At 36.2% G+C, this 12,363-nt stretch overlaps 1 protein-coding gene across 12 annotated transcripts in view; it reads right to left on the minus strand.

The window, feature by feature from the left end:
* The window catches only part of GALC (galactosylceramidase), a 60,654-nt gene that overhangs the window by 3,609 nt on the left and 44,682 nt on the right, over window positions 1-12,363 (minus strand). For 11 of the 12 annotated variants that reach the window (NM_001424076.1, NM_001201402.2, NM_001201401.2 and 8 more), the window contains 4 exons: window positions 11,106-11,256; window positions 8,931-9,111; window positions 4,773-4,936; window positions 3,283-3,359 (listed from right to left, as the gene is read on the minus strand). In NM_001424076.1, coding sequence (NP_001411005.1) covers window positions 3,283-3,359; window positions 4,773-4,936; window positions 8,931-9,111; window positions 11,106-11,256 — 573 coding nt within the window. The remainder of the gene's footprint in view (window positions 1-3,282; window positions 3,360-4,772; window positions 4,937-8,930; window positions 9,112-11,105; window positions 11,257-12,363) is intronic. The other variant, NR_187582.1, reaches the window with a different exon arrangement.

A 12,363-nucleotide genomic window follows, 5' to 3' on the forward strand; every position in this document is an offset into this window, starting at 1 on the left:
GTATCCCTAGGACTTAGTAAAGTGCATACAGTAGGGGCTTAATAAAAATGTGTTGAATATAAGAATGAAACACATTTAACCCTCAAAACAACCTCACAGAAGTTATCTCCATTTTGCAGATAAGGAAATGGATACTCAAAGAGGTGGAATAACTTGCTAGAAGTCTCAGCATGTGTTAGTGAGGAAATACGAATGCTGGTCTGTCTGGTTCCAAACACTCCTACTCCTAAAAATATTAACTTGACTCATTAAGTGCTTACCACATATCAGGTACTATATATATATATATATTTATTTATTTTCTCATTGAATCTTCATAAGAAAAGTGTTCTTCATGATATCATGGATGGGAAAATTGAAGCTGTGCAATATAAAATACTTGCAAGTAGAATATAGTAGACTTCAAAGTCCATTGTGCTACCCACCATGCAACAGAACTGGGACAAGTCACCTGACAAGTGCTGAGAAGAATTCAACAGGTGGCTGATAGTCAGTGACAAAATCCTCACATTAGCTGTAATTTGGAATATGGGCAACATAGAAGATGATGTTTTGTTTTTTTTATTTACGCAAAGAAGATTTATATGTCAAATACTGTTTAATGCACTGGGAATTTAAGATGAACAAGAAAGACAAGGTCCCTGCTCTTATGGAGCTTATATTCTAGTAGGAGATGGACAGATATGCACACACACACAAAATGAGAGCTAAAAGATAAGTAGCATGTAAAAATTAAGCCAGGTCAAGGTGACAATGGGTGCCTGACAGACTACTTTAGTGCAGATAGTTACAGAAGACCCTCAGAGTATGTGGCAAAAGCTGAGATTCAAGAGGAAACAGAATGCCCATAGTTGATGAAACACAAAATAACAGGAGTAGGGGAGTGAGGTGGGTGCAAGCCAGCAAAGTCCTATCCATCCTAGTAGCAAGACAAGAGCCAATTTTTAAAAGTAATGAATCACATTGTATTAAAGACACACCAGAAGAAACAGCTAAAATAGTGAAGAGTGGCTGTATCAGAAGTACAAGACACAGAATGGGGTCAAGAAGAAGGAACAGGATGTGAGGCAAGATGCCTCACATCCTATTGATATTTTAACCAGGTATGCAAAGTACCTGAAAAAAATTAAGAAAATTTTTAAAATCTCATTCATGATTTCAAAAAAACTCATAAAATTACTAAAACAAACCTAATCAAAAGTTTGCAAAAATAAAACTGAAGGACATAGTGGCAAATCTTAATAAATGGTGAAATATAGCATGCTTTTGTTCCTGTGTTCTCTCATGGGGAAACACATTATTGTTAAAAAAAAAAAAGTCATTTTTTCCTAAATTGATGTGTAAATTTAATGTAATACCAGCACCATTTTTCAAGTAACTGAAAGTTTGTTTTTTAAAAGTCAAATCGAATAATATATATAGTGGAATAGCAAAGATAATTTTGAAAAAGAAACAATGAGGAAGTTGCCCCACCAGATATCCATTCATTCATTTACCAAGTATTATTCGGACTCTTGCTCTGCCTGGCTGTCAGGCACTTTTCTAGGTGCTACAGAGCCAGCAGTGAGGAATATGGAGAAAAGCCTGTCACTAAAGGAGCTATGTGCTAGTGAAGGGAGTAGGAAAACACATGAACAATTAACAGAATATGTGTGATGTCAGCTTGGGATAAAACTTTTGGAGAAAAATAAAGCAACAGAAAGGAGTTAGAGAGTGAGATGGGGCGCTGTTTTCTATCAGGTGGTCAGGTAAGAAAACTCTGAAGGAAGCAAGGGAGTAGCTGTATCATCAAAGCTTTTAGAATGTGAACACCAATTAAAAGCGTGATTTTGGATAATAATAGACAAACATCAATATGGAGAACAGAAAAAAGTTCAGAAACAAGCATGTGCACATGTGCTGATTTGTTACATCAAAAAGGTAGCCTTTAAATTATGGGCAAAAGGATAGTCCATTGTAATAAATGATGGCTATCCATTTTTTAAAAAATTATATTCAGTACTTCCCCTTACAATTCACAAGTAAATTTCTGACGTATTAAAGACTTACACATAAAAATAAATCCTAAACTTTGTTTAGCTTGGGGGAAAAATGTTCCTAACCTTGAGAAACAAGAAGGCCTTATTTAAAACATGAAACATAAAAGCAATGAATAAAAAGTGAAATATTTGACAGTATCAAAATGTAAAACTTATAATCATCAAAAATACCATAAGCAAAATTAGAATACACATGAAGGAAGAGCATAGTTGTGACGTATGTAACAGACAATGGGTTACTATCCAGAATACATATTAAATTCACACAAATTTGCCAGAAAAAGACAACATGATAGAAAAATGAAGAAAGAAGTGAACAGGCAACTTCAGAGAAGAGAAAATACAAATAGCCAGTAAACATTAGATGTGCAAGCTCCCTAATTATCAAGGAAATACAAATCATATCTATGAGTTTGGAAAAAATCTTCAAATTCAATAATAGTGAATATTATTATAATTGCTATAAAATGGCTACAATTTGGCTAGTGTGGTATAGTTAAATAATCTATGCTACATCCAAACCAAATCTTCAATATACATATTGTTAATGCTAAAAAATAATTAGTGCTGTCATTTTTGGTGGTTGAGAGAACAAATTCCAAAGTTATTGGAATCTGATTTTTAATTTCTACTGCACTCTAAACAAAATTGTGAGAGAGCTATCTTGGGAGAGACCAACACATTATACACAAAAATTTATCTGCACAGCATCCCTTGGAAGCACTGTCGAGCAGTAACTCATGATCACCCAGTGATTCTCAGGAACATTTTTATATTTCTATTATACTAAAATTAATCTGGTATTTTCTCTGACTAAAATATTCATGGAAACCAATTTCTAAAAATTATGCTTATAATTGAAAACCAAATTATTCTTAACCATCAAAAATAAATGCATATGGCTTTGCTTACATCTATAAGCTCCATGTACAGTCTTGGTTCAAGCAAACTTGAAAAAAATAGTTCAATTATTGACTCTATCAATTATGCCTCAGTTTAAAAAACAAAATAAAATTTTTTAAAAAAATAGTGACCTGATAAAGTCAACTGCTGATGGTTCTCACATAGGTTACCCTCACACATGTAACTATCCTAGGGATGAGTGGCTTCCCGGCACCAAGGCAGATTCTTTGTCTCTCTTCATTATATGTCACACTTTCCCCCTCCTATTTTATAACAGAAAATTATAGAAATGCACAACAAAAGAGCATTTTACCTCCAGACTCCAATCAGCAATACTTACCTTAATAGTTAACGTGAGTGTATACCATTTTTTTGCTGTAACTTCAACACGTCCTAAAGCATATATAATCCATCCAGCTGTAACACAAAAATATTATCCCAATAGATATAATTTTGAGATCTCAATCACAGAATCATATAATTCAGTGGGGTTCTTGAGTGGCATCTGTATGTAGTAAAGTCAGCCTCAACAGAGAGCTATGTCCCTTCATTCCCAGATCTACAACTGAGTTAAGCCAAAACATTTTTCATTTAGCCATGCATTTAATAGCATATACTGAGATCCTACTCTGAGCCATATACTATATGTGAGCTCACAACAGAACCAGTGAAATAAACTTAAAAACCAGTGATAGTATGAGGTGTTAGCATCTGTAGTTCAAGTACACATTTATACATGACTGGATTGAATATGGAAGACAAGAGAGACAGAATATAAAATTTCCAGCCAGTCTAATTGGTCACATGGTAATAGTATTAACTTAGAGGGAGAAAATAGTAAGTTAATTTTTGGAATTAGTGTTATTTGAATGCCTATGAGAAACCCAGGACAAAATTTCAAGTAGGCGGTTTAAAACAGACAATAGGGACTGCAGACACAGATTTAAATTCCTAGTTCCAGTTCTGCCACTAACTAGCTTTGAGTCATTAGGCCACTCAATTAACCTCACTGGTTCTATGTTTTCGATTTCAGTATCACTGAGGTAAGTTCAGATTGGTAATGCTATGAATATGTAACTCTTGTTCTAATATCCTTACTACCTACTTCCTCTTTAATTTTTATTTTATTTATGGAGTCAAAGCAAAGAGCAGAAAACTATAAAAGAGATATTTTTAAATTAAGGTAAGACGAAAGTCAAGAGACTGAGAATCAAGAAAAGTCACTACCAGTAAGGTCTAGCTTCAAAGGAGTGGTGTGTATCAAAACCAATCTGAAGTGGACACAGTTCAATCTGAACATATTTGAAGCACCTATTCTGGATAAAATATTATCCTACCTAACACAAGGGCTGTAAAGATGACTGAGAAAAGTCAAGCTATTTTCAAGTATTAACTAAATTCAAAAATGAGATTTTTCCATTTTAAGCCGATCAATTCCCCTCCTTATATTTCTATAGGTACAGCAGCAACAGTCGTATACTCTTGCTTTTATTTATGGTGCCTCCTGAGCATTCTCTCCCTACCACCACTACCTCAGATGGTTTTGATACTATCTATGCAAATCCTATCCTCACAGCCCAGTTCAACTCTACAATACCCTTAAAAGCTTTGTACAATTATTTTCCCTTCCACAGAGCTGCCCCCATCTCTAGGAATTAAATAACTTTCTATAATTGTAAACTATTTGGTATTTGCTTACATCCCTTCCCAATTAGATGTCCAAACACCTTGGGTTGAATTCTTTTTATCACTCCCACAAATAACAAGTAGGTGCTCAAAGTAACATAGCCCATAAGTCATATGCTATTAAAAAAAAAAAAAGTCAGTTACCTAAATCACCTGTAACCCTGTAAGATCCATTTGCAAAAATCCAGAAGAAAATTCCTCTGGCACTTCTAATCAAAATACCACCTTTATTTACTCTTCCTGCAATGAACACACCTCCTGTGTCAGGGGTCTCTATGTATACATCACACTTTATAGTCAGATTGGTCCTGCAAAATAAAACGGTTGATTAGTACTCTTTAAAATATGCCCTTTGTAACATAGTACAGATATGTCATTTCACAGCACATGCTTCCAAACTTCTAATTGAGGTGAGAATGTGATTTGCTAAGTCTAAGCCTGTAGCAGAGATGGGCTTCAAGAATCTTTATTGACAACAGTTTTAAATGTTACATGACTTAAGTCATTTCATTGCCTCTTTAAATGATTACTGGACAATAATAGTTATGATTTTTAAGTTTCCTGAGAAAATTTTTTTTCTACAATAAAACAACTTCTCATCTTAAGAATACAATATTTTAAAATGCTACTATTGTCTATGAACACATTAAAAAGTAAAAAGTTCCACACAATTCTGAGGGAAAATGTTTATTCAAACTTCCATCAACAAAGAGAGGCAATGAAGGCAATGCTAGGAGCCTTTGAGAGAACACAAGCTATTCCGGGGCCAACTTTTACATTTAAATCTAACAAAACTTTAAAACTCCAGGAGAAAAGATCTAAAATTATTTTTCTGCAAAGACCACAGAGTTGACTCTCTAGGAGGGCTTCTCACACCTGAACAGCACTGAAATCACCTGGAGGGCTTCTTAAACTCAGTTCACTGGCCCTACCCCACAGCGTGATTCAGTACATCTGGGGCAGCCCCTTGAATGTGCATGTCTAACAAGTTCCCAGGTGATGCTGATGCTGCTCGTCCAGGAATGCCACTTGGAGGACCATTTTCCCCTATGAAGTATCTGTCTATAAGGAAGCAATAAAATCCTGGTTCTAGGCTCACTGATCCACAGCAGTCTATCAAAGATGGGAAAAGATTCAGCTGTCCAGGGACTACCAGAGCTTTTACAGTGAGCTCTCCTCCAGGTTTCCTCTTACAAATGCTACCAGGTACAACACTTTCCTTCTGGAATGCTACAACCACCCCAAACCAACATGATCTCTGAAAATATTTCACTTCCTACTCAGTATCTAACTGCAAGTGGGAAGAAAAAGAAAGCCTGCACATAACCAAGTCATAAATCAAGCAATATATCTCACATAAAACTGGAAACACCAAGAAATCCATTCTGGAAATGGGCTGGGGGGAATGAGATCTAGAATTATGTGGCTTTTACATTTCTGTGTCTTATCAGTGAATTTTGCACAGTGAAATTTTACTACATAAAGGAAAATATTACAGAAGTACCTACATCAGCTACACAGGGAGGACAATCCACACTTAATTATCTAAGCAGAGCTGGACTACTTTACAGGAAGATAAATGCTAAGTAACTCAAGCCCAGTCTCTCTTGTATGTCCTCTGACATCAGAGGGAGTTTTCTCTCCATAGATTATCACCAGCATGAAACCACTGGCAATCAACACTGGTACTTACATCCCTTACCTCCTTTCTGGTTCATCAGAAGTTTGAAAGTGCTACAAATACCATCAGCACCATAAAATTATTCTATTTAGAGTTGGAATGAGAGAAGATCAAACTTTCCTTTTCTATATACCACATTCCAGAATAAGTGATTCTTGCATCAGAACTTGCCAGGCAATTTCACAGATAATGAATGAAATGGAATAAAAGTGTGGTTTATTCTTCCACAGCCACAATCTCTCAGTAATGCTGAAAGAACAAAAACTAGCCAATACATAAGGCAAATTTGATCCAAGAGAGTTCATCTGTGTGCAGGGAAAGGTAATTTTGTGATTGTCTTTAAAGGATTCCAACCAATGCTCACTATCAAGATAGAAGTAGCCAGTTATAGTACAATCTATCCCATATAATCAAATTACTGTGCTGGTAAATGACTAAATCTAGGTATAAGAGAGGAAGTTCTACTCAAAACACAAGTCTAAAAACTGTGAGTAGTGTGCACTCATTGAGAGCAGATTTACTAAAATAGCACTACAGATAAACTAAACAAATTTCTCATTTCCTACCTTTAGGAAGAAGATGATTAAAATGAGGCTGTGAGATGTACTCCAAAGAGAATGGGCTACTCAGTCACACAGACCCGGCTTCTAGCCCTTGTTCTGCCACTTACAAGTGAAATATTGGGTAAATCTTATTCCAAAGATGCAGTTTCTCAGTCTGCAAGGTGGGGACGATGATATCTCCACCATAAAGTGGTTGTGTGGGAAATCCATCAAAGTGCCTACTATTACCCAATTTTTATTCCCTCCTTTTCCCACAATAAGTGGGCACAGCAGCCAGACAACAGAAATGAACAAGGGATTTGTGTGGATCTCTGAGCAGATCTGGCTGCCTCAAATAGAGGGTGGAATACTGGAAAATAACACATAATAGATGAGACCAAATTATAAAGGGTCTTGGAAATCAAGCCTAGAAGTGGAAAACACAGGTAGCAGGACAGAGTCACTGCATCTTCCTGAGCAGGGGAATAACATGATGAAAACAGGGCTTCAGAAAGATGAAGGCAGGCCTTTCTTGACACGCAAAATTGCAACTTCCCGGTTCCTTTCCTTTCAGAATATGTCACTCTCTTCCCTTCTACACCCTTCCCCATCCCTCGTCCCCACCTCCTTACCCACTGCAATAGATCCTAGTAAAAACTGAGTATTGCTATTTAAATTGTGAAGATGTATATGAAGATTCAAATATATGAAGATCTGGGGGAGTAAATCTTTGGATGGTGCTATATCTCACTTCTATACTACAATTAAGGGGCTTCTCAATCTTTTTGGAGTCCCAGCCAGAAATAAGATTGAGTTTGAGTTTAGAAAGAGCCCTCTATGGTATTCAAGTGCATGGGGTATAGGGGATGTCACAGAAAAAAAAGTTTCCTATACGGCGACTTCAAAACTGGAGATCAAAACAATGGGACCCAGGCCTTGGACACTTAAACCCAGCCACTGGACTTAAAATAAGACCATCAGTCACAAATAAGGATGCCAAGAACTCCACTACCATAACTGGAAAATCTAGGTAAAGTTTCCACCTCAGAGACAATGGGACAAGCAGAAATTCTGCGTAAAAACACAAGCCACAAATGTCATCCTAAATTAGGAAGGAATTCTTCACTGCACCTCAATAACTCTTCATAGTGTTATAAGGGTTCCAGGGGCTCTGGATAACTAAAAGTTTCTTAAGACTTATGTCAGAGCTTGGGACTAGAATCAGGATTTCTAACTGGGAGTAAGGCACTTCAGGAGGGATAAACACTTTCTGCACACTCCATAGACAGGCAATTCAAGGCTCTTTTCAGAATTCTTTTCTCTTCCCTCTCCAGTTTCCAAGCTTCGGATATGGCTTTTTGGTGGCTTGGTATTACTAGTACTAGCTCTAAACCTGGAATGTGTATGTGTTTCTTTTCCCACAGTGGAATCATACTAGTTATAGGAAAAAATGAAAAAGAAACACATGACAGGTGGAATAAGTCAGCACATAGAAATTCTGTAACTAAAGAGGAAGGGAAAGTTTTAGTTTGGCATTATATTTTATGTGAATAATATAACTTGTCTCTTTACCAGATGACTAAATAAAAAGTTAAATTCACTAGGCGACTAAAGCTGATTAGCTTTTTACTATTGCCATCTACTGTCACCTGGTAAATCTTTTAATAAGGCTAAGACGGTGTAATTCTAAGATTGGTCCACTAGATGGCAACACCAGATCAACAAATCAACTCTCCAGCAAAACAAAAACTTAAAAATACCTCACAAATCCGTCTATTTATAAACAAATATTAAATTATAATTGGGTCCAAAAGTCCTTAGTTTTTATACTGGAATCAAATTGCTCCTGTAATAATCACTATTAAATAGGGCAAAAATGAGGGAAGGACACTGGGGCAGCAAAACAATTTGCAGCTTTGTGGTCATCACCATACTATTCAACAACCCTTAATATTACATATTACACATCTATTAGGTTCTTGAAATAGGAGGACCATTGAAAACTCTTCACTTCAAAATGTACCTGACAATATTACAAGGGTATTTCAGCCAGATCCACATTGAGAACATCAATCTTACCAGTTGTAGTCTCCTATAATACTGATTGTGTTGGATGCATCGGCAGCCCATGTAATGGGTCTCTGGTTGAGAACTTGGCGTAGCGTGAAGTGATGCTCGCCAGGGTCTTCAATATTTGTAAAATATTCAAATACACCAGTTTGATCAGCAAAGTTTGGAGCTTCACTAAAAAATGGGTAATCTGTTCAGAATGTAAGAAATTCTCTGTTTAGTATCAAATCCTTCAGAAGCTCTCCTTGCTGATATTTTATAGTATGTCTGAAACACTTCTGAAAGCTTTTAAATAAATAAATAAAATCTAAACCAAAGTTTAGGGCCTAGGTCTAATAAAGATACATTAATTTTTGTATCATCATTACTAAATATCAAGATGATGAGTTCGACATATAGATGCTGCATAATATTTAATCCAGGCATCTGGTGTAGAGGAAAGGTCATGAGTTTTGAAGTAAGACCTAGATTCAAATTCGAGTTCAGTCTGTCGCCCTGGACAAGCTATTTAACTGCCCTGCATCTAAAGTTTCTTCATTTCCAGGTTTGCAGGAGGACAAGAGAATTAAAGAAAAGATAACAGGTACATAAGCCAGCACCTGGCAAGGGCTCAATAAGGGATAGCTTTATTATTTCTAATATCTGTCAAGCAAGGTTCCAAATCATGCGTCACAATCATCTGCCAAAAGAGCATAAGAAAGGTTTACTATATCAAGCATAAAATTTACAAATTTTCTTCTACTTCTAAACTGCAGCAAAAACCAGTTTTGGGCCTAAGTTATCAATCCCTTTTTAGTTTTACTAAATTAAATTATAGTCTTACAATAATGAATGCTGTAGAGGAGAAATTTTACATATCTTATAGCTCTTATACCTCATGCTTTTCCAAGTGTTTTTGCATTCATTACCTCATTTGAGACATTTAGAACCCTAACAAGTATCTCCAGAGCCTAGCTTATAATATTTAACTTAGTTTTAAATTTATATTGTAGCTCATAAAGTATTACATTTTATATTTGAAGGTTTGAAATTGCCTCTTAGTCTTCAGGGTCACAAAATATTGGTCTTGGTGCTGGCAGTTCTTCAATCTCATTATCTAGGCCATATCCCACACAGATTCCTCACTTACTGAAGGCAAAAGTCACTTTTGCTAACAGAGAACCAAGCGAGCAACAGATTTTAAAGACCCTGTGTTTCACAAAATTAATGGGTTTATCTAAGAGGCCATTTCAAAGAGTTGCAGAAAAACAAACCACCAAGCTCCCCCTGAGGATCACTGTTGTCTGTATTATAGTTGAGAGGACTCCATTACACAGTCCAAAAGGCCTTATACTCCAGCCAACTAGATCATTTCCTGAGAAAGGGAGGCGAGACCCTGTAGCAGTGACTGGGAAAGGGTGATAGGAGTGTCCATCTTTGGTGGAACAAGCAGCTCTGCAGCAAACAGGAGCTTCAAGTGATGCTCCAGCAATGCCAGCTCCCTCCCTATTACTCTCCTGCTGCTACAGATTTTAGGAGCAGATTACAAAGCCACCTGACCCTGTCTGTGAGACCCATAAACCTACAGAACACCACCAAGCAGTCAACAAATTTTGTTACTTACTCACTAGGAATATAACTACAATGACCATGTCTTCTAACTTTTTTCCAAGTGGTTTTCCTAAATCACCTATAACCAAAAACTTTTCTAACAACTTTAGGACAGATCTTCCTAGAAAACCAAGAAAGCTCAATTAAAAAAAAAGCACGGGATGGTATATAATGAGTTGGATCAGCCAAGGACAACATAACTGCCCATAAGCACTCAGTTCACTAGCACTGCAGAAAGACAGATATGAATGTGTCTTAACCTCCACACAGAAGGAAGATGTCAGTAATGGCTAATGGGGCAGTAGCAAAGTTACAAAGTTTAAGTTTCACCAAAAACAAATCAGAACTATAACTTTCATTCTAACAATGAACCCTATATTTTTTTCTGAAACTGAAAAATACAGGGTCCTCAAATTTAGATTTACCATAAAGTAATGCAAAAAATTAGCCCTCCTTTTACCGCATATGAGATGTAGGAGGTAAATGAATGTGCTTTTGACAGCCACTCCATCATGCACCCAGTTTGACAGGTAGAAATCAACACACTACTGTTAAATATAGAGACCAAGTTAAGTTTTAGTGAAAAATACTCACCAACATTGAAATCATCCTTATAGGTACTTGGGAAGGGCTGGGATTTTGGAGGAAGCGGGTAGCTGCCTTTGCGACCAGTGGTGAGAGTGGTGAGTGTGAACAGCTCATCTTCATGCAGGCTCAGTGTGAAACTGCCATCGCTGTCAAGGAGCTGAAAAAGAAGACACTACTGTATTCAGGACCAGGTACTATAGCTCATCTCATGTGGACAGAATAGCTTTAAAAAAATTAGCTTAAAGAAAAGTCCAAATCATTTCTGTTAGAACTTCCTAAACATTTGTGGAAAACTCACCAATATCAAGGCCCTTGGAATCTTTTTTTCCTAAGTATTTTAGAAAACTTTATAAAATTATGCTTTATAATTTTAAACAACCTTACTTCATGGAAGGAAGGACTAAATAATCTCAAAATCTATTTCTATTAGCCTATTCTTTTCCACTACACAGTAAGCTCCTTAAAGCTTGGATATATTCGATACATGCAACTAAGAGACCTGCTTTTTTCTCTCAGTAATTTACTAAGGTAAAAAAATTCATAAAATATCACTGTCGACCCAGCTGTTAATCACAGAAATCCTTTTACAATTAAGAGAGAAAAATCCTGCTCATTTTATGATCAATATATATTTCAACTAGCAAGTTAGGCTTATGTCACACTTACGATCTTGGCAACTTAATCTCTTTAAGTCACAATCTCCTCATCTACAAAATGAGGAAAAAATACATACCTTATAGACTGCTGTGAGGATTAAACCAGATAATGCTTTTAAAGTGCTAAGCTTAGTGTGTGACCAATGGAAAACGCTCCCAGTATCAAAGTTGTTCTATGCTAAATGTAGATCTCTGAAGACACTGGAATCCTTTTATGAAATTTGAACAGTTTTTTTCTATTTTGAATAAAAGGAGTTATTATCCTTGTTTTAATGGTAAATTGATGATCAGATCTATGAAATACCTGACCGTTATATTCAGGTTGAAGAATAACCCCAAATGACATTATTTTTCTTATGAGGAAAATCAATTTTATTATGCCATTCCTAGCAATTTGTTACACAAAAAGTATGAACTTTTTTTTCAGAACTTAATACATAATAAGGTGTTTTATCACTGTTAGTGACTAGTTGGTTATCAGAACATTAATAATAACCAGAAAAAGTGGTAGACTTGTGTCAATTAAGTGAAATAATGTGCTTGTTTGGGCCAATTCGTTCTTTGAAACCTTTCCCCAGAAAGCACCATGGATGAGGCACTGTGGGAAG

The sequence above is a fragment of the Homo sapiens genome, chromosome 14 (genome assembly GCF_000001405.40).
Source record: "Homo sapiens chromosome 14, GRCh38.p14 Primary Assembly".
Taxonomy (NCBI): Eukaryota; Metazoa; Chordata; class Mammalia; order Primates; family Hominidae; genus Homo; species Homo sapiens.